This window comes from Homo sapiens, chromosome 2, assembly GCF_000001405.40.
Source record: "Homo sapiens chromosome 2, GRCh38.p14 Primary Assembly".
Classification (NCBI taxonomy): domain Eukaryota; kingdom Metazoa; phylum Chordata; class Mammalia; order Primates; family Hominidae; genus Homo; species Homo sapiens.
This window is the reverse complement of record NC_000002.12, coordinates 88,134,804-88,157,807: the sequence shown is the minus strand read 5'-3', so window position 1 is coordinate 88,157,807 and position 23,004 is coordinate 88,134,804. Positions and strand designations below refer to the sequence as shown.

General features: G+C 39.2%; 1 long non-coding RNA gene across 1 annotated transcript; it reads left to right on the top strand.

The window, feature by feature from the left end:
* Positions 1–19,269: 19,269 nt before the first annotated feature.
* On the top strand, positions 19,270–20,602 carry LOC101928347 (uncharacterized). Its single transcript, XR_245041.5, has 2 exons — positions 19,270–19,473; positions 20,507–20,602. It is a non-coding gene; the product is annotated as an uncharacterized LOC101928347 (long non-coding RNA).
* The last annotated feature ends 2,402 nt before the right edge of the window (positions 20,603–23,004 follow it).

Sequence of the window (23,004 nt, the reverse complement as noted above, 5' to 3'; positions counted from 1 at the left end):
CTACCTTGCTCCTGCAAGAATGGCCATAATTTAAAAATCAAAAAATAATAGATGTTGGCATGGATGCAGTGAACAGGGAACACTTCTACACTGCTGATGGGAATGTAAACTAGTACAATCACTATGGAAAACAGTGTGGAGATTCCTTAAAGAACTAACAGAACTACCATTTGATCCAGCAATCCCACTACTGGGTTTCTACCCAGAGGAAAAGAAGTCATATGAAAAAGATACTTGCACACACATGTTTATAGCAGCACAATTCACAATTGAAATAATGTGGAACCAACCCAAATGCCCATCAATCAACGAGTGGATAAAGAAACTGTGATATATATATGTATATATATACACATCACCTGATTTCAAATACATATATATGATACATATATGTATATACACACATATATATATATGATGGAATACTACTCAGCCATAAAAAGGAATGAATTAGTGGCATTCGCAGCAACCTGGAAGAGATTGGAGATTATTATTCTTAGTGAAGTAACTCAGGAATGGAAAACCAAACGTATGTTCTCACTCATAAGTGGGAGCTAAGCTATGATGATGTAAAGGCATAAGAATGACACAGTGGACTTTGGGGACTCAGGGGGAAAGGGTGGGAAGTGGGTGAGGGCTAAAAGATTACAAACTGGGGGCCAGGCGCAGTGGCTCACACCTGTAATCCTAGCACTTTGGGAGGCCAAGGCGGGCAGATCACCCGAGGTCGGGAGTTTAAGACCAGCATGACCAACATGGAGAAACCCCGTCTCTACTAAAAATACAAAATTAGTTGAGCTTGGTGGTGCATGCCTGTAATCCCAGCTACTCGGGAGGCTGAGGCAGGAGAATTGCTTGAACCTGGGAGGCGGAGGTTGCGATGAGACAAGATCGCGCCGATACGAGATTGCGCCATTGCACTCCAGCCTGGGCAACAAGAGCGAAACTCCATCTAAAAAAAAAAAAAGACTAAAAATTGGGTTCAGTGTATACTGCTTGGGTGATGGGTACACCAAAATCTCTCAAATCGCCATTAAAGAACTTACTCATGCAACAAAACATCACCTGTTCAGTAATAACCTATGGAAATAAAGAATTTTTAAAAATTAAAAAATAAAAATACTTAATTGCTAAAGCCAGGTGTGGTGGCATATGCCTGTGGTTCCAGCTACTTAGTAGACTAAAGCAGGAGGATCCCTTGAGACCAGGAGTTCCTGTCTAGCTTGGGCAACATAGCAAGACCCTGTCTCGCAATAAAAATAAAAATAGATAAATAAAAATACTTTATTGCCAAAAATGCTAGTGGTCTTCTGGGCCTTCAGCAAGTTGTAATATTTTTACTGGAGGAGGGTTTTGCCTTAATGATGGCTGCTAACTGACCAAGGTGGTGGTTGCTGCAGGTTGGGTTGGCTGCAGCAATTTCTCAAAATAAGACAACAATGAAGTATGCTGCACCCATTGACTCTTCCTTTCACACAAAAAAAATTTCTCTGTAGCATAGGATGCTGTTTGATAGCATTTTACCCAGAGTAGAACTTCTTTCAAAATTGGAGTCAATTCTCGTAAACCCTGCTGCTAATTTATCAACTAAACTTATGTCTGTTCTAAATCCTTTGTTGTCATTTTGACAATGTTCACAGCATCTTCACAAGGAGTAGATTCCATTTCAAGAAACCGCTCTCTTTGCTGATCCATAAGAAGCAACTCTTCATCTGTTCAACTTTTAGCATGAGATTGCAGCAATTCAGTAACATCTTCAGGCTCCACTTCTAATTCTCGTTCTCTTGCTGATTTTCACATCTGCAGTTACTTTCCCCACTGAAGTCTTGAACCCTTCAAAGTCATCCATGAGGGTTGCCATCAACTTCTTCCAAACTCCTATTAACGTTGTTATTTTTACCTCCTTTCATGAATCACAAATGTTCGTTTTTCTTTTATTTTTATTTTTTCTTTCATTTCTAGTTATGTGTAATAATTGTACATATTTATGGGATACAGAATACTTCAACACATGTATACACTATGTAAGGATAAAATCAGAGTAATTAGCATATCCATCATCTCAAACATGTATTATTTATGTTGTAAACATTCAGAATTTTCTCTTCTAGCTTTTTGAAAATATACACTAAATTATTATTAATTATATTCACTCTACAATGCTACAAAATACTATAACTTATTCCTCCCATAGAGCTATAATTTTGTATGCATAACCAACCTCTCCCTATCTTCCTCTCTCTACTACTCTACTCAGCACTTAATAACCACAGTTCTACTCTCTACCTTTTATAAGCTCAATTTTTTCAACTCCCAGATAAGAGTGAGAACATGTGATGTTTATCTTTCTGTGCCCAACTTATTTCCATTAACATAATGTCCTCTGGGATCATCCATGTGGCTGCAAATGACAGGATTTCATTTTTTTTATGGCTGACTAGCATTCCACTGTGTACATATACCACATTTTCTTTATCCATTCATATGTCGATAGACACTTTGGATGATTCCATTTTTTGGCTGTTGTGAATAATGTTGCAATGAACATGGAGGTGTAGGTATCTCCTTGACATACTAGTTTCCTTTCCTTTGGGTAAATACTGGATATTATTGCTGGATGTTATGGTAGTTCCACTTTTAGTTTTTTGAGGAACCTCCACACTATTCTCCATAATGGCTATGTTAGTTTACATTCCCACTAACAGGGTATAAGAGTTCCCTTTTCTTCACATCTTCACCAGTGTTTGTTTGTTTTTGTTTGTCTTTTTGATGATAGCCATTCTTACCGGAGTGAGATGATAGCTCCGTGTGTTTTTAATTCACATTTCCCTGATATTAGTGATGTTGAGCATTTTTTTCATATGTTTGTTGGCAATTTGGTTTTCTTGTGAGAAATGTTTATTCAGATCATTTGCCCATTTTAAAATCAGATTATTTGGGCTTTTGGCTGTTGAGTTGTTTGAGTTCCTTGTATATTCTGGATATCAATGCCTTTTCAGAGGAGTAGTTTGCAAATATTTTCTCCCGTTCTCCAGGTTGTCTCTTCCCTCTTGTTTGTTTCCTTTGCTGTATGGAAACTTTTCAGTTTGATATAGTCCCATTTGTCTATTTTTGTTTCAGTTGTCCATGCTTTTGCGGTCTTAGCTGTAAAATCTTTGCCTAGACCTATATCCTGAAGTGTTTCCTTTATGATTTCTTCTAGTGGTTTTATAGTTTTGGGTCTTACATTTAAGCCTTTAATTTTTTGAGTTAATTTTTGAAGATGGTGAGACATAAGGATGAAGTTTCATTCTTCTGCATGTAGATATCCAGTTTTCCCAGCACCATTTATTGAAGAAGATGTCCTTTCCCAATGTATGTTCTTGGTGCCTTTATTGAGAATCAGGTATAAATATGTGGATTCATCTCTAGGCTCTTTATTCTGTCCCACTGGTCTATGTATCTTTTTTTTTTTTTTTTTTTTTTTTTTTGAGACGGAGTCTGGCTCTGTCGCCCAGGCTGGAGTGCAGTGGCGCAATCTCGGCTCACTGCAAGCTCCGCCTCCCAGGTTCACGCCATTCTCCTGCCTCAGCCTCCCGAGTAGCTGGGACTACAGGCGCCCGCTACTACGCCTGGCTAATTTTTTGTGTGTTTAGTAGAGACGGGGTTTCACCATGTTAGCCAGGATGGTCTTGGTCTCCTGACCTCATGATCCGCCGCCTGGGCCTCCCAAAGTGCTGGGATTACAGGCGTGAGCCACCGTGCCCGGCCCCATGTGTCTTTTTATACCAATACCATGCTGTTATGATTACTATAGGTCTGTAATATATTTTGAAGTCAAGTATTGTGATGCTTCCAGCTTTTTTATTTTTGCTAAGAATTGCTTTGGCTATTCAGTGTCTTTTGTAGTTCCACAGGAACTTTAGGATTGTTTTTTCTATTTATGTAAAGAATGCCATTGGTATTTTGATAGGGATTGCATTAAATCTGTAGATTGCTTTGGGCAGTCTGGTCATTTTAACAATATTAATTCTTCCAATGCATGAGCATGGAATGTCATTCCATTTTTGTCTGTTCTGTTCAATTTCTTTAATCTGTTTTTAATTTTCATTGTAGAGATCTTTCACCTTCTTGGTTAAATTTACACCTATGGAGTTTTTTTAGAAATTGCAAATGGGATTGTTTTCTTGATTTCTTTTTCAGCCAATTTGTTTTTGGTGTATAAAAATTCTACTGATTTTTGTATGGCGATTTTGTATCCTGCAACATTACTGAATTTATTTATCAGCTCAGAGTTCTTTGGTGAAGTCTTTAGGTTTTTCTATATATACTATTATATCATCTGCAAAGAGGGATAATTTGAGTCTCTTTTTTCCAATTTGGAAACCTTTTATTTCCTCTCTTGCCTAATTGCTCTGTCTATGACATCTAATAACAGTGATGAAAGTGGCCATCCCCCATTCAGTATGATATTACCAGTGGGTTTCTCATATATGGTCTTTATTGTGTTGAAGTGTGTTCCTTCTATATCTAATTTGTTGAGATTTTTTATCATGAAGAAATATTACATTTTATCAAATGCTTTTTCTGCATCTACTGACATGATCTTGTGGTTTTTGTCCGTCGTTCTGTTGAGATGTATCACACTTACTGATTTTTGTATGTTGAACCATCCTTGTATTCCTGAAATAAATTCCACTTGGTCATGATATATTATCTTTTTGATGTGTTGTTAGATTTAGTTTGCTAGTATTTTGTTGAGGATTTTTGCATCAGTGATGTTAATTTTTCATTAGTGAAACTGACCTGCAGTTTTTGTTTGTTTGTTGTGTACTTGTTTGGTTTTGGTGACAAGGTAATGGCCTCATAGAATGCGTTAGGAAGAATTTGCTTCTCCTCAACTTTTTTGAGGAGTTTGAAAATAATTCTTGTTCTTTAAAATGTTAGTAGAATTCAGTAGTAACGCCATCTAGTCCTGGGCTTTTCTTTTTTGGGAGATTTTTTTTTAAGTGCTTATTCAGTGTTACTGATGATTGGCCTGTTCAGGTTTTCTATTTCTTCCTGGTTCAATCTTGGTAGGTTATAGGTGTCCAAAAATTCATCTATTTCCTCTAGGTGGGCATTTGTTGGCACATAGTTCATAAAAGTCTCTAATGACCCTTTTAATTTCTGTGTTATCAGTTGTAATGTCTTCTTTTTTGTTTCTGGTTTCATTTGGTCTTCTCTCTTTTTTCCTTGGTTCCTCTAATAGCTCGTCAAATTTGTTTATCTTTTCAAAAACCAACTTTTCATTTCATTGATCTTTTTGATTATTGTTTTAGTCTCTATTTCACTTTGTTCTTCTCTGAATTTTTATTATGTTTTTCCCCTCTACTAATTTTGAGTTTGGTCTGTTTTTGCTTTTCTAGTTCCTTGAGGTAGATTATTAAGTCATTTATTTAGTCGTCTTTCTTTTTTGATTAGGTGTTTATTGCTATAAACTTCCCTCTTGGTATTGCTTTTCCTGTATCCCATAGGTTTTGAAGTGTTGTGCTTCCATTTTAACTTGTTTCAAATAATCTTTTGACTTTCTTAATATTTTCATTGACCCATAATCATTCAGGAGCACATTATTTAGCTTCCTTTATCTGCACAGTATCCAGAGTTTCTCTTGTTATTGATTTCTAGTTTAATACCATTTTGGTCTGAGACAATATTTGATATGATTTTGCTTCTTTATTTGTTGAGATTTGTTTTGTGGCCAAATATATGGTGTATTCTAGAAAATGTTTCATGTGCTCATGAGAAGAATGTCTGTTCTTCAGCTGATGTATAAAATGTTCTGTAAATGTCTATTAGGTCCATTTGGTCTATTGTGGAATTTAAGTTTGATATTTCTTTGTTGATTTTATGTCCAGGTGATCTGTCTAATGCTGAAAGTGGGGTGTTGAAGTCCCTAACTATTATTGTATTGGGGTCTGTCTCTCTCTTTAGCTCTAATTATATTTGCCTTATATATCTGGGTGCTCCAATGTTGGGTGCATATATATTTGCAATTGTTATATCCTCTTATGCAACTGATCCCTTTACCATTATATAATGACCTTCTTTGTCTTTTTAAATTTTTTTTATTATACTTTAAGTTTTAGGGTACATGTGTACAACATGCAGGTTTGTTACATATGTATACATGTGCCATGTTGGTGGCTGCACCCATTAACTCGTCATTTAACATTAGGTATATCTCCTAATGCTATCCCTCCCCCCACCCCACAACAGGCCCTGATGTGTGATGTTCCCCTTTCTGTGTCCATGTGTTCTCATTGTTCAATTCCCACCTATGAGTGAGAACATACGGTGTTTGGTTTTTTGTCCTTGCAATAGTTTGCTGAGAATGATGGTTTCCAGCTTCATCCCGGTCCCTACAAAGGACATGAACTCATCATTTTTTATGGCTGCATAGTATTCCATGGTATATATGTGCCACATTTTCTTAATCCAGTCTATCATTGTTGGACATTTGGGTTGGTTCCAAGTCTTTGCTATTGTGAATAGTGCCGCAATAAACATACGTGTGCATGTGTCTTTATAGCAGCATGATTTATAATCCTTTGGGTATATACCCAGTAATGAGGTGGCTGGATCAAATGGTATTTCTAGTTTTAGATGCCTGAGGAATCACCACACTGACTTCCACAATGGTTGAACTAGTTTATAGTCCCACCAACAGTGTAAAAGTGTTCCTATTTCTCCACATCCTCTCTAGCACCTGTTGTTTCCTGACTTTTTAATGATCGCCATTCTAACTGGTGTAAGATGTTATCTCATTGTGGTTTTGATTTGCATTTCTCTGATGGCCAGTGATGATGAGCATTTTTTCATGTGTCTTTTGGCTGCATAAATGTCTTCTTTTGAGAAGCGTCTGTTCATATCCTTCGCCTACTTGTTGATGGGGTTGTTTGTTTTTTTCTTGTAAATTTGTTTGAGTTCATTGTAGATTCTGGATATTAGCCCTTTGTCAGATGAGTAGATTGCAAAAATGTTCTCCCATTCTGTAGACTGCCTGTTCACTCTGATGGTGTTTTCTTTTGCTGTGCAGAGGCTCTAAATCTCTTTAAGCTGATAAGCAACTTCAGCAAAGTCTCAGACTAAAAAATCAGTGTGCAAAACTCACAAGCATTCTTATAACCAATAACAGACAAACAGAGCACCAAATCATGAGTGAACTCCCATTCACAATTGCTTCAAAGAGAATAAAATACCTAGGAATCCAACTTACAACGGATGTGAAGGACCTCTTCAAGGAGAACTACAAACCACTGCTCAATGAAATAAAAGAGGATACAAACAAATGGAAGAACATTCTATGCTCACAGGTAGGAAGAATCAATATCGTGAAAATGGCCATACTGCCCAAGGTAATTTATAGATTCAATGCCATCCCCATGAAGCTACCAATGACTTTCTTCACAGAATTGGGAAAAAACTACTTTAAAGTTCATATGGAACCAAAAAAGAGCCCGCATTGCCAAGTCAATCCTAAGCCAAAAGAACAAAGCTGGAGGCATCTCGCTACCTGACTTCAAACTGTACTACAAGGCTACAGTAACCAAAACAGCATGGTACTGGTACCAAAACAGAGATATAGACCAATGGAATGGAACAGAGCCCTCAGAAATAATGCCACATATCTACAACTATCTGATCTTTGACAAACCTGACAAAAACAAGAAATGGGGAAAGGATTCCCTATTTAATAAATGGTGCTGGGAAAACTGGCTAGCCATGTGTAGAAAGCTGAAACTGGATCCCTTCCTTACACCTTATACAAAAATTAATTCAAGATGGATTAAAGACTTAAATGTTAGACCTAAAACCATAAAAACCCTAGAAGAAAACCTAGGCAATACCATTCAGGACGTGGGCATGGTCAAGGACTTCATGTCTAAAACACCAAAAGCAATGGCAACAAAAGCCAAAATTGACAAATGGGATGTAATTAAACTAAAGAGTGTCTTTTTAAATTTTTACTTAAAAACTTCTTTATCTGATATAAGTATAGCTACTTCTGGACAATTTTGGTTTCTGTTTGCATGGAATATCTTTTTCCATCTCTTCACTTTCAGTCTATGTGTGTCTGAAACTAGGTGGAGTGAGTTCTTGTAGGCAGCATAAAGTTTGGTCTTTTTTAAAATTCATTCCATCTGTCTTTATGTTTCAGTTAGGGAATTTAAACCATTTACATTAAACATTATTATTGATAAGTGATAAATTACTGCTGTCATTTTGTTCATTGATTTCTTATTGTTTTGTATATCCTTTGTTCCTTTCTTTCTCCCTTATTATTTACTTTTGCAATTTGGTGGTTTTCTGCAGTGATATTTGATTCCTTTCTTTTTCTCATTTGTGTGTCTACTCTCTCAGTGAGTTTTGTACTTTTGTGTGTTTTCATGGTGGTAGACATTGTTTTTTCACTTCCAAATGTAGGACTTCCTTAATATTTCTTGTAGGGCCAGTCTAGTGGTGATGAATTCCTTTAGGTTTTGCTTTTCTGGAAAAAAAAACTTTTTTTCTCTTCTGTTTCTGAAGGATAGCTTTGTTGTGTATAGTATTCTTGGCTGCCACTTTTTTTTCTTCCAGTACTTTGAATATATCATCCCATTCTCTCCTGACTTATAATGTTTCTGATAAGAAATATGCTGTTAGTCTAATAGAAATGTCCTTATATGTGACTTGACATTTTTCTCTTGCTGTTTTTAGAATTCTCTCTATATCTGTGACTTTTGACAATTTGACTGTGATGTGCCTCAAGGAAGATCTTTTTGGATTGAATCTATTTGAGTACCTTTGAGCTTCCTGTATGTCAATGTTTATATCTCTTCATTTACTTGGGAAATTTTTAGCTATTATTTCATTAAATAGATTTTCTTTGTTTTTCCCTATTTATTGTCCTTCTGGAACTTCCAAATTTGAATGTTTGTTCTATTGATGGTGTTCCCCATGTTATGTAGGTTTCTTTATTCTTTTTAATTCATTTATTTATTTTTTGTTTTTTGGTCTGACTGGGTTATTTCAGATCTGTCTTCAAATTCAGAAATTCATTTTTTTCTTGATCTGGTATTGTTGAAGCTGTATTATATATTTTTTTCATTCATTAAATTCTTCAGTTTCAGGATTCTAGGATTCCTGTTTGTTTCTTTTTTTATGATTTTGACTTCTTTTTAAAATTTTCCATTCAAATCATAGAATAGTTTTCTTATTTCTTTGTATTATCTATCTGTGTTCTCTTATATCTCACTGAGTATCCTTAAGATCATTATTTTGAATTCCTTTTTCAGGCATTTCATTTATTTCATTTTCTTTGGAGCCTATTACTGAAGAATTAGAGTGTGTGTGTGCATGTGTGTGTGTTTCACATGTCATGTTTCCTTGCTTCTTCATGTTTCTTGTGTACTTATGTTGATATTTGTGCATCTGGTGTAATAGTTGGTTCTTCCAATTTTTGGAATAGCCTTCATAGGGAAAGTCTTCTTCCTATAGATATATCCATAGTGTTGGTTGGGTAGGGTACTTTTGCTGTGGTTCTGGGTAGGCACCATAGTGTACTCTGCATGATTTATTTGGCTATAATCAATGTCAGTGGTGTCAGTGAGTTTCTCAGTGGCTTAGGCTACTATTGTTTGTAGAGGTTGTGGTGAGGCTTTCCTGGGAACTGGGGTACCAGGCAGGCCAGTTCTTAGGCCCCTGAGTGGTGTGGCTGAGCACCATCTGTTGTGGTTGCAAGCCCTGATCAGTCTGGTCCTTGGACCCCTGGGCAGGGCACACAGGTGGCAATAGCAGTGAGATGAGTAGGACAGTCCTTGAGCCCCCAGGAAGCATATCAGGCAATTGAAATGACAGCAACAGTTAGGGTGAGCTAGTTCTTGGGACCCTGGCTAGGACACATGAGTGTCCAAAGTGGTGATGGCATGATTGTGGCAGCAGGCCAGGCAGGCCAATCTTTGGGCCCCCAGGTGGTATGTAAGAATGTGAGCAATGGTGGTAGAAGTCCAGGAAGGCCAGTCCTCAGCCTCTTGGGCAGCATATGCAGGTGTCTGCAATGGCAGTGGTGGTCCAGGAAAGCCAGTCCTTTGGGCCCTGGGCAACAAGTGCAGATATATGCAGTGGCTGTGGTGGTCTGGGCAGACAGCCAGTCCTCAGGCCCCCATGCAGTATGCATGAGCACCTGTGATGGCACTGGTGGCCCAGTCAGGCTGGGTTTTGGGCCCCCAGATGGCTCATACAGGTACACAGCAGCCCCTTCTCTGGAGGGAGTGGGACTACAGTCAATGGCGGTGGTCCCAAGCAGGTGGCTCTCAAATTCTGTGGAACATATGTTTTGGCTCCCTATGTCCTAGGAGCAGCCTCCCTGAGGTGCTGAACTCTCTGTTCCCTGGGGTGTAGGCCACTGCAGGGGCTTGGGTGCTAGGAACACAGCCGCATTGCTGGGTCCAGCCAGGGTTGTAATGCTGCAGCTCTCTGAGTGGGTAGGTATCCCAGAGCAGGATGTTGTGTGGTGTTGGCTCCACTCTCAAAATTGTGCCATGTTGTAGCATTTGGGTCCCAGGAGGAGGATGTGACCCAGAGTAAATTCCTTCTCTGGGACATTAGGCAGCTCTCTATACTACACTCAGGGCCTGTGAGGGCCAAGGGGCTCTCCTGTAGCTAGGATTGCAGGTGTCTGTGGTGAGAATGTGAACCATCCCATCCTAAGTGGAGAAAACAAAGAATATTACACTACTGAGTCCTTAGCAGAGGACCCTTTTAAAAAAAAGTGAACATAAATGAGAGAACAACCAATGAAAAATTATGGAGTATTTTATCAACACTGATGAATTGGGAAGATGATATACAGTGAAAAGTGTGCAGGCAGGGGAATGAAAACACTGGAGCATAGGAGAAGGGTAGCAGAGAGGTTGCAGGTAGACCTTGCAAATCAGGAGAATGCAAAGATCCCCTCCCTTACCTGCATGTTCCTACTGAGGTTTGTTAATGATTCCTAAGTGTGTTGTGGGATCAGGGAAGCTGTGGAAGGCAGCTAGGAATATGGGTCATAGAGCAGCTCTCCAGTGCTTTCCCAGATAAACAGAGATTGAACCTGCTGTGACAGGTGAAGTGGGGTAAGTCAGTTGTGATTCTGGAGCATTCCCTGAAAATGGAGATGATAGGGGTGTGCCCAGGTGGGCACCTGAAAACCAAATCAGTCTCATGATCCTTAATTTCCATGATAATAAATCAGGTGATAATATCTTAAGCTAAAAGGAAAATGAGGAGGAAAATGGGGAAGAGGAGGAAAGAAAGCTTATAAAAACATGTCATTTAGAAATGTGGAGAAAGTAGCTAAAAGAGTTGAAACTGGTTACAGCCATCTCATTACTTTATCTTTTTTGTGTGTTTTTTAATTTGGGGAAGGGTCCTGGATTGCCAAACTTTAGTGTGTCCCCAAAACACCAGGGGAGCTTGCTAAACACCTAGGCCCTGTCCTGAGACACTCTGACTCAGTAGGTCTGTGATCGACCTAGACGTCTGAATGTTTAACTTGATATAGGAACTGAGTGGACCACTTTGGGGAATTCTGCTCTAGATTCCAAGTGGGAGTAGAGAGTGGAATGTAGCAGACCCCAAGTTCTCTTCCAGCTCCACTCCTTCCTACCTGTGTTACTTGTGCAGATTACTTCACTTCTCTGTTTGCTCATTAGTTAACAAGGGATTGCATTAAGTCAAGGCTTCTTGAACTTTTGGGAAGGTTGAGTTTGAGAATCTATTGAAAGCCTTAACAGAAAAATGTAATCTGAAATTTTACACATTCAGGTGTTTCTGGGCTCTCTAGGCTCCTAAAGACTCTTAGTTATAATTTCTTAGAATTAATGTCCTCAAAGATCTGTCAACTTTGACATTCATGGATGATCTGGATTTTGGATGCTGTGGGCAAGCTGGCTGGGGAGAGGACACAACTTGCTTTAGACAGCAGGTTTAGAATCCCAGCTTGTGGGTGGTCTTCTGATATGCATTGAACCAGCACCTCATACTGCCTTTTGCAGGGATGAAGAGCTGGTCACTAACTTGGCAGATACAAACAGGACACCAATCTCCCCCACCTTCACCAAGATAATATTAGCTAAGCATCCTGGGTGTGCTGAGTGACCAAGGACATCCAGGGCAATAAAAAAGCAAAATATCTCAAAAGGGCTGCATTTATCAGAAACTGACTATCAGGAAAGATAAACGGATCAGCCTGAGGAAGTGACCTGAGCTCTACCCTTCTCCTTCAGATCCTAGAACAAATGGCCTTTCTAGAGAAGTACAAAATTTCTTATAGTAATGATTTTGATAATGGCTGCGGTGCTAATTCCTCATTCCATCCATGGACACGTAAATGAAAAACTGGGTTGGGAGAGTTCACACTTACTGGGAAGAGGTGAGGCAATCTGTGTAGTCATAGGTTCAAACGTCCTTAGTCAACTTTGTCAAGACTGACGAGACCTTTCACCTAGAGGGGAGCCATGGTACAGCTCTGCCCATTTTCTAGGGTCACTGGAAGCCTCTGGAATTGAGTGTTGACTTCATACTATCCAGGTCTAATCAAAAGAGCCGTTGATTAGATTGCTGCTTCACAATCTGAATAAGACTATTACGATATGTGGCTCATGGCCAAATGGTCAATGGTCACAGGGCCAAGTTTTTAGATAGGAAAAGTAGGCTCAGGGTCACTAAAGGTGTGAGCCACCCTACTGGGACATACATGCTGGCACCGGGCTCCTGACCTCTGTTCTGCACTCCTCCCATCCTAGAGTGGGAGGCCGCCTACATGGGAGTGGAGAAGTAGAGAGGACCTGGTTTGACCGCGAGGCACACATAAGAAGACTTACCTGCCAAAGATATTAATTTTGTTATCAGCCTGCTGTTCTATATTTTCATTCTGAACCTGGAAACCCAACTGTTACATCGTGACTGGGTTACAGAGCAAATCAGAATCAGGTTGCCAACCGGGCTCAGATTATGCCTTTCTTGCCTTTTTTGTTATTTATATTATGATGTGATCATCTATAGTAATTATTAGTTTTATATTTTAACATCTTTGCAACCAAAATTCTTTTGAAAATGTTATTGGTTTATGAATTTTAAAAACCGGAAACACTGGGGTATAAAGCAGGATTGCTAAAATGCCCCTCTTCACTGTGCCCTGCCCAGGTCTTCTTATTCTGCTAGACTTCTTTTATCACTTCATCTGGTTAACACAAAAAAAACCATAAAACAATGAGAATAGGCAATATACTTTCCAGGGTTATATGCCCTATATTTCAATAGAGAAGATTCACAGATCAACTCAGAAAAGAGATACTCTCCACAATAAAAGTTAAAAATTATCCAAAAACCATCAAGACCTGACTTCATTCCCATTATTTCCTCAAGCACTCACTTCTCTAGTCACATTGACTATTTGCTTTCACACGTTTCTGCTTGGTATATGCTTTTCCTTCTGCCCATAGTGCTATTCCCCTTTGGTCAGACTGTTGAACTCCTGTTTATCCTTCAATATTAGGCCTAAGTATTACCATTTCTGTGAAGTCCTCCATGACTTCTCCCACTCTCTTTCTTTCAGGCAAGTCATATGCCCTTTATCTCTGTGCCCATAGTAACCTGGATGTATCTCTTGTTTAGCATCTAACACACTGCATTTGAAAAAGCTGACTTGATTTTCTGCCTTCCCTATTAAACTCTGAGCTCCCTTCCTCAAAGACTCTATCACCTGGCTCTTTCTACACCCAGCACCTAAAGTACAATGCTTAGCATACATTTGCGCTAAGGAGATCCCTTGGACTCAAATGAAAAATAAGGAAGCAAGTGAAATTGATTGGCTAAAACCTACACCAACCGCCATAGTTAAAAATGCAAGAATACTTTAAAATTTAGAATAAAACAAGATAATCCACTATTACCATTATTGTTATCACAGTTCTGGCAGTTTTAGCCAAGACTATAAGGCAAGAAAATGAAATGATATATAGAAGAATTGGAAGGAAAGAGCTAAGATTATCGCTACTTGAAGATAATATGATTATCAAAAAAATTTTAACTCCTGTTTCTGGCCAAGATTAATCATTCTGCATGGCACAACCAAAAAGCAAACTACATAAAATAGTTTCCAAGACACTAGTCATCATACAATGAAGGAAACTGATCTCTGAGAACCTGGAAATAAATTATGAGAATCTTACAATTGCCCCAGCTTATTGCTTTGAGAGAGTTTCTAGGTTATGGCACAGTTAGGCAAAACCCAGGCAGACTGTGGTTAATTCCTTGAGTTGAGGAAACAGAGCTAAGAGTTCAGGAAGACCAAGTCAGCAAGAGTTTGCAGAAAAGAGTACTGGAGAGGAGACAGATGCACAGGTAAGAACTCCAGAGATCTGCAGATCTTCAAGTAGTCCCCAGACAACAGATCAGCAAGGAAATTATCCAAGGCTAAGGAAAGAACCAACCAAAAGGATAAGAGGGTAACAGTATCTGGCACTCACATAGGGCCAGGAATAGCGCCTGTTTCTACCAGCACAAATGAAAAATCTCATCATTTATGGGCATTGAACACATTATGCTAAAACGTCTTGTCTTAGTACTAGGTGAAGGATTAGCCCTGGCCAGACAGTCCTGCCTATCAAATCTTAAAAGCAAGACTTAAAAAGATCAAAGTATTTCAAAGTAACTAAACTGCATCTCAGAGCAAAAGACCCAGAATATTTATGGGATACAAAACTATTCTCTACTCAACACAGTAAAATTTACAACATATGGCATCCAATAAAAAACTACTAAACATGCAAAGAAACAGGAAAAAATAGCCATAAAGAGTAGAAAATTCAATCAATTGTACCTTTTCAAAATTTATGAATATGCTAAAAATAGAAAACAAGGATATTGAAGCAGTTACTATTCTTGTATTCTATATGTTTACCATGTTAAGTGAAGATAGAAAATATCTAAAAACCAACCAAACAAAACCACATTGAATGTTTAGAGATGAAAACTGCAATGTCTGAATGTTTGAGATGAAAAATAAACTGGATGGTATTAAAAGAATATTAGCAACCAAGCATGGTAGCTCATGCCTGTAATTCCAGCACTTTGGGAGGCCAAGGCAGGAGAATTGCTTGAGGCCAGGAGTTCAAAACCAGCCTGGACAACATCGCAAGACCCCGTCTCTACAAAAAAATTTAAAAATTAGCCAGGTGTGGTGGCACACATTTGTAGTCTCAGCTACTCAGGAGGCTGAGGTGGGAGGATCACTGGAGCCCAGGAATTCAAGGCTGCAGTGAGCTATGATTGCACCACTGCACTCCAGTCTGGGCGACAGAGCAAGACCTGTCTCAAAAAAAAAAAGTTAGACATTATAAAAGAAAAGATTAGTGAACTTGAGGACACAGCAGTAAATACTATACCAAATGACAAACACAGGGACAAATAGAATTTTAAAAATAAACAGAGCTGTCTCTGTGAAGTTTCCTCTGACTTATCCCACCAGCTTTCCTTCAGGCAAGTCATGTGCCCTTTATCTCTGTGCCTATAGCCCCTTGGACATTTCTCTTGTTCCGCATATGATACATTGCACTTGGAAGAGCCAACTCGCTTTCCTGCCTTCTCTACTAAGCTATGAGGCAGTGAGCTATAAGACTTCAAGTAGGCTAATAGAAGTCTGATTGGACCCCCCAAAGGAGAGGAGAGAGAAAGAGGTATGGGAAAAATATTTGAAGAAATAATAACCAAAGCCTTTAACATGTAGATCCAAGGAGCTCAACAAACCCCAAGCACAAGAAACATGAAAAAACTATACCACAGCTCATCATAATCAAATTGTTCAAAAATCAATGATAAAGAGAAAAATATTTAACACAGCCAAAAGAAAAGGCATGTTACCTAGAAGAATAAAGATAAAAATTATAGAAGACTTCTCATAGAAAACAACACAAGCACAGAGTGAAGCAACATCTTTAAAGCAGTGAATGAAAAAAAACTCTGTCAACCCAGAATTCTGTATCAGTAGAACTACCTTTCACAAATGGAGGCAAAATAAAGACTGTTTCAGACAAACAAGCTGAAAGAATTTATAACCACCAGACCCACACTACAAGAAATATTAAAGTCTTATAGGAAGAAAGAAAATGATACCAAATGGAAGTCTGGATACACAAAATGAATGAATACCAAAGGAAATGGTAACTATGTGATGAAATTTTAATTATTATTTACATCTCTTTAAAAGATAGTCATTTAAACCTAAATAATAACAATGTAGTCTGAAGTTTATAACATACATAAAGGTAAGATGGATGATAACAGTAGCACAAAATTCTAGCGGGAAGAAATTAAAGTCTACTACTGTAAGGGCTGGACGCGGTGGCTCACGCCTGTAATCCCAGCACTTTGGGAGGCCAAGGCAGGTGGATCACCTTTGGTTGGGAGTTTGAGACCAGCCTGGCCAACATGGTAAAGCCCTGTCTCTACTAAAAATACAAAAATTAGCTGGGCATGATGGCAGGTGTCTGTAATCCCAGCTACTCAGGAGGCTGAGGTGGGAGAATCACTTGAACCAGGGAGGCAGAGGCTGCAGTGAGCCAATATCATGCTGCTGATCTCCAGCCTGGGTGACAGAGCAAGACTCCTTCAGAAAGAAAGAAAGAGAGAAAGAGAGGAAAGAAAAAGAAGGAAAGAAAGAAAAAGAAAGAAAGAAAAAGAGAAAGAAAGAAAGAAAGAAAGAAAGAAAAAGAAAGAAAGAAGAAAGAAGGAAGAAAGAAAAGAGGGAGGAGGGAGGAAGGGGAAGAAAACTACTGTAAGGTAGAAAGAAAGAGAGAGAGAGAAAGAAAAAGAAAGAAAGAAAGAGAAAGAGAGAAAGAAAGAGAAAGAAGAAAGAAAGGAAAGAAAACTGTAAGGTTCTTGTACTATATCTGAAAAGACATATTATCACTTAAAGATAGCATGTGATAAGTTAAGATGTGTACTTTAAACCCTAAAGGAATCACAAAAATAATAAATATTTCATATCTAGTAAACCAAAAGAAGACAGAGAAAAGAAATAAAGAATACATTAAATGGGACAAATAGTAAACAAATAGCAAGACGATAGATTTCAACCTGACTGTTATCAATGAACACTTTAAAAGTTTATGGTCTATAGGTTTAGGCAATGGTTTCTAGATACAACATCAAAAGCACAAATAATAAAAGAAAAATGATGAATTAAATTTAATCCAAATTAAAAGCTTTTTTTTTTGCTTCAAAGGACACCATTACAACTCACAAAATGAGAGTGAATATTTGCGAATTATATATCTGATAAGGAACTTGTGTCTAGAATATATAACGATCTCTTGCAACTCAACAACTAAAAGACAAATAACCTAGCTTTAAAATGGGCAAAGAATTTCAATAGACTTTTCCCCAAAGGAGATATATAATTGGCCAATAAATGCTCAAGATCATTAGTCATGGGAGAAATATAAATTAAAACTACAATGCAATACCACTTTATACCCACTAGAATGGCTATACTAAAGATGGAGTTGTAACAGCAGTTGGCAAACATGGAAAAATTAGAGCCCTCATACACTGCTGGTATATGAAAAAGATTGTGTTTTGTTAGCAAGGACGATGGGTAGGGTTGGATGCTAGGAAGCAACCAAAGTGTCTGCTGCATTAATAGATATGTGCAGAAACATTCCTGGGTTAGTAGTTGCCTTGCATTTAGGATAAAGATATGAAAGGGAGGCATCTCCAACGTAGTGGAGACCGTTCAGGATTATTCTCAGAAGACCTGCCTTCTCTGCTGTTTCCTGGCTGTGTGGCCTCAGGCAAGACACTTTCCTCTCTGAGTCTCAGTTTTCTTTCTGGTAAAATGGAAGTCAGTGTATACATTGTGTCTACCAAATAGGTAGTTGGACATGAGTAAGTCTTGGTGAGCTGTGCTACGTAGGATAAGGTTTCATCATTTTATTATAGTCTTCGGGAATTCGAAGTCTCTTGAATCAGTCTTTCAATTGATATTAACCAAAAATATATACAAAAACTAGGGTCAGGAGTTTGTTCACTTTGGCTTATTTGGAAAAGGAGTCAAGTGAATGGTTTGAAACCCCTGAATGGTCCCATTTATCCCACATATCTCTGTAAATAAAGGTTTGAATCCTAATTATCATGGCTAATCCTGCCCCTTCCCAAAACACTAGGGTTTCACTTTGCACTGACTTTGGAAAACGATTCCCATCAGAGCTACTTTCAGTAAAAACATCCAAAGAAGGCTGACAGCTTCCAGTCCCATAAGTTATAAGGGAGCAGTGTAGTCAAATAATATTAGTTGAAATTTAACCTAACTGTCAAAAGCTTTGGTCAAAGAGGAATTTGGGGTCAAAGTTGAACCTGTGATTTAACCCGTCCCACATACACACACCTATCAGCAGATGGGGTGATCTGTCTCACTCCCACTCTCAATGGACAATGTGCATTTTGTGAGCTCTGCCTGCATCATGCAATCTTGTACTTCCCAGGCAATTTCCCTGGGGCCACTTCCCATCTAGGGCAGTGGGCTTTAGAGTTTCTATGAGATGCTTATAAGAATATTGCTAAATAGAGTCTTGGCTCTATCTCGTAGACCTCTAATTATTCTCTCATCTTCACTCTGTGCAAGGCATTTGTTTTTATGTGTAATCAAAGATCCTGCCAAGAAGCACTTGTAGATGAAACTGGAGACATTTGTTTTATTCTTATCCGTGCACTCAGGCATTCAATAAGCACATTCTCAGTGCCTTCTAATCTCAGCAACTTTGCCAAGCTCCAGAGATACAAATAAAAACAGTCCCTGCCCTCAAGAAACTTACACAAGTAATAAGCAGAAGAAAATAGAAAAAGAAATGTCATTACAAACCCAAACCTCCCTGTCCAATTTTCTCATTGTACCCTTGACTTAATATTATGATTAATATTTCCTAAAAGTTGAAATCCTCCTAGTAATAGATCAATAGACTGAAAGTAAGCAGTAGAAAATTTGCTTTTTGTGCTTTCTGAAAACTTTGCTTCTTAATCAAATTTTCTAATGTTTTAAATTTAATAGTTCAACCAGAGTTTGAGGCACAAAGGGAGAGATAATAATTCAGGGCACCTCAAGATTTTCCCTTCAACCTCCGACCGAATGGAGCCTTCGGTACCTCTGTGCCTATTGGCCATGCTGCAGGAAAGCTCAGTTATGAAATCTTCCACTCTGAGATCTTGGCAGATCAAAAACTATACGGAGCATTTGGTGAGGTACCATTTATGTGAGGCAGTCCCAAATGTTTGGCACATTTATGGGAAGCATCCTGATGAAGGATTTACAGTGGTTTCTTCTAACTGGGATCACTCCTAGGTCTAGTACTAATAAAGAGAAGAAGATCGGAGCAGCTTTGACATGAATGGATCCATCTGGCCTGGTCTCCATACAAGTTTCCTATGAGTTTGGTGAGTGTGGATCCCCATGGATCATAATCCACCTGGGAAATCAGATGGAGTCTGACTTCTCATCTTGCATCAATGTGACTGGTAGGGATGGGTCCATGCTCTGGAGCTGGACTCTGTGGGTTTGAATCCTGGCTCCTCTGTTTCTGCCCTGAGAGAACTTGGCTAAGTTCCCTTACTTCTCTGTGCCCCAGAGTGCTTATCTCTAAAATGAATTATAATGTACTGTAAATGGGAAAATTAATATAGTGTGCCTAATAGCAGTGAGCATTCAGCAAGTATTAGCTGTGTGTGTGGCTGTAACAGCCAAGGACCGGCTGGAGGAATGCGGTGACTCTACAGCAGTGCACCTCTGAGTCCTAGTGAGACAAGCGACTGTGGTCCAGGTCTGGAAGGAGGCTGGGCAGCGGCTTTTCTCATCTCTACAGTTGGGAACTAGCACTCATCCTTCTCAGGAAGAGGGAGAGAGTGGACTGAATATTTCTCACAAAGCAATGACTGCCTCATTAAAAAAAAAAGTAATCATATAAGAAATATGTGAAGATATTGTGAAAAAATCAAATAAAACAAGTAAAAAGTATCTTTATATTCCCCTTCCCTTCCCACTGCTCTCTTCAGAGGTAACCACTATTCACAGTCTGGGATGTGCCCTTCCGGACTTTGTGGATGTGTATGGGTGTATGGCATACGTAATTTTGGTTACTGGGTTGTTAACTGAAATAAAATCATTCTACATATTTTTCTGTAACTACCTTTTGTTACCTTAACAGTACATTTTTGGAAAATATTTCCAAGTCATTACCAACAGAACTCATTCATCCTTGGTAATGGCTACACGGTAGCCATTCAAATCACAGATGGTCTATAATCTAGGTAATTGATCTGTAATCAAAACTGCTACCAGCCAGCCTGGATAACAGAGCAAGACCCCGTCTCTAAAAAACAAGTGAAAAAACGTGATAGATATTTTGGTTATCTGCCCCCCAACCTATTTCTTCATGAATCCAAATAAGTTCAAACTTCTTGGTTATTCCAGGTCACAGACCCTTCAAGCAATTGTTTAAATGAGAAGATGCTACATTTTCAAGCAGAGACTGATTCACTGTAGCTTAATAAATTTTTACTGAGCCCATACTGTGTATATTTTGTCCTGAGCTTCAGAAACCAGGAAATCCCATTGGGTAAGGGGAGCCTGGTGCAGGGATCAGCAGCCTGAATGAATTCTGCTAAACAACTTTCATCTGGCTTTAGCTATTTCTGTTGAGCTGTCAACACAGATGTTGGGTTTTGCTCTCAGAACTTTAAGGACACGTGGCAATGGACAGACGATCTACTGGAACTGGAGGAGAGGGGGAGGCGTAGTGTGCAAACACACAAATGGCCATTGTCCCAATATTACAGCCATTGCTTAATTCACCAGACATGTATTGAGCCTGTCTGTGCCAAGGACCAGGAAAGACCAGTAGGGGAGACAAAATGAATCCCTGTACCCTGCCACCGAGCACCTTAGTGTCCAGAGGAAAGGAAGGCATAACCTAGGTGAGGTTGTAAGATACAGTGGTCTAAAAAATAAGAGGCCCAGTGATCTAGAGCAGGACAGTTCAGAGTGAAGAGAAATGCTTCTAGCTAGGAGAAGGGGGCAAAAGGAGGGGCAAGGATGACTTTTCTCCCTACATTGCTCTCCTTAGTGGGTGCCATTAACATGCCCATGGTCACCCAAGGTGGGCTTCCAGGGGTATCTTCAGCTTCTGCTCTTCCCTCATGCCCACCTATGATGGACCCCCAAATGCTCTCTGTTACAGTTACAGAATGTCCCTCCAATTCATACCCTCCTGCCTACTCCCAAATTCAGGTCCTCATCCTCTCTTGCCATAACTTTTGCCAGAGTTTCCTAACCCATTTCTGTACCTCCAGGTCTCCCCCCATCCCATCTTTCCTGCTGCCTTGGAAGTAATCTTCAAAAATCACAGATCTGGCCATGTCACTCTTCTGCGTGAGAACTTTTGCTGACTTTTCATTACCTACTGCAGCAAATCCAAAATTTTGTCACTAGCATATCAGATTCACTATTTTAGTTTTTGTCTTATCTTTGTGTGTCCTTGTGCCAGTTGTTTACCTGCATGTCTCAGCTCCTAACCCTCACTTCATCACTCTATTCTGTATTTGGGGATCATGGTGTCTACACATTGTATTTTCCAGACTTCTTTGCTAGCTGTGTCTCTGCTAGGACTAGAATATGCCAATCACCTGCTCAGTGGGAATTAGAAGTCAGAAGTAAGAGACAATCTTCCTTCTGCAGCTTTGCTGGAAATTCTAGTGGTTGCTATTGTGGCTGCAGCCATGCAGTGGGTCTAGCTCCCAGCAGCCCGAGCAGAGGAAGCACCTTTTTCATGGTTCAAACCCTGGTGGAGGTGACGCCACTTTATTGAATCCAGAACTGAAGACACTGTAGAAGCAGTTGTAGATACTTGGGTTCCAGCCCAGGCATTAGCAGCTTTGAATCCTTCTTCCTCTGCTCTCCCAGCTCTTTCCACTCCAGGTAACCAATCTCATGTATTAAATTCCCTCATTTGAAATGCCTAGGTTAATATCTGCCTTCCATATTGGACTCTGACTGATAACGCTCTTGTACTATTTTATGCACTATTTTTCTCTCAATGATTCCCTAAAAATGCTTGACCATATTCTAAGCAATAATATCCATGAGATCATAAGTTGGTCTATATTCTTCTAACACATATTGGACTAAATGCTTAATTATTAATATTAAAAATATTCATCCACGTACCATCTAAAACCATCTCAATTGCTGATATATGCCCACTCTGGGAAAGCATGGTCCAGTCCACCTCCCTCTCACTAGCTAGTGTGGTCCCCTCTCCAGCGCCCACATCCATCTCCCCACTCAGACTCTCCCATGCTCCTCTCTGTCCTGTCCTGAATCAAGGCCTTGCTTCTGCAGCAATTTTTGTGCTTTTGCATGCTTCGCTCTTTCTCCATGAAAGCATCTTGACTTCTTCCCTGACCAGAAAATTTCTTCTTGCTCTTAATTCAAATATTATCTAGATTTTGAAGTTTTATTCAAACTTCATCCTACTCAAAAGGCAGCTTTAACTCCCTTTATGTTTCCTACTAGATAGCAAGTTTTTCATACATTCAAAATGTTAGCCCCGCACAAATCTCACATAATAGGTCAGAGGATGCTTGATGAGTGAATAATTAAGCAGTGGATAAGTCATCTGATGTCTTGTGGCTTCAGCAGGATCTGAAGTTGAAGAAGGAAACCCAAGGGGAGGGAATAGGATGATGCTTGTGATTATGATGAAACACAAGATACATAATTACAGCATGACCCAGATGGGGTAATTCCAGTAAATACAGTATTGGAAGAACTGTAAATCCTTGCTTTGAAGAATTGGGATTCAGTATATATGCTTTACACTGAACCTCTGATAAACACAAGAGTCCAGCAGCCACCCCAGGATCTTTAATTTCTTGAGATCTCTCTTCATGCACATGGACTGTGAGGCTCTT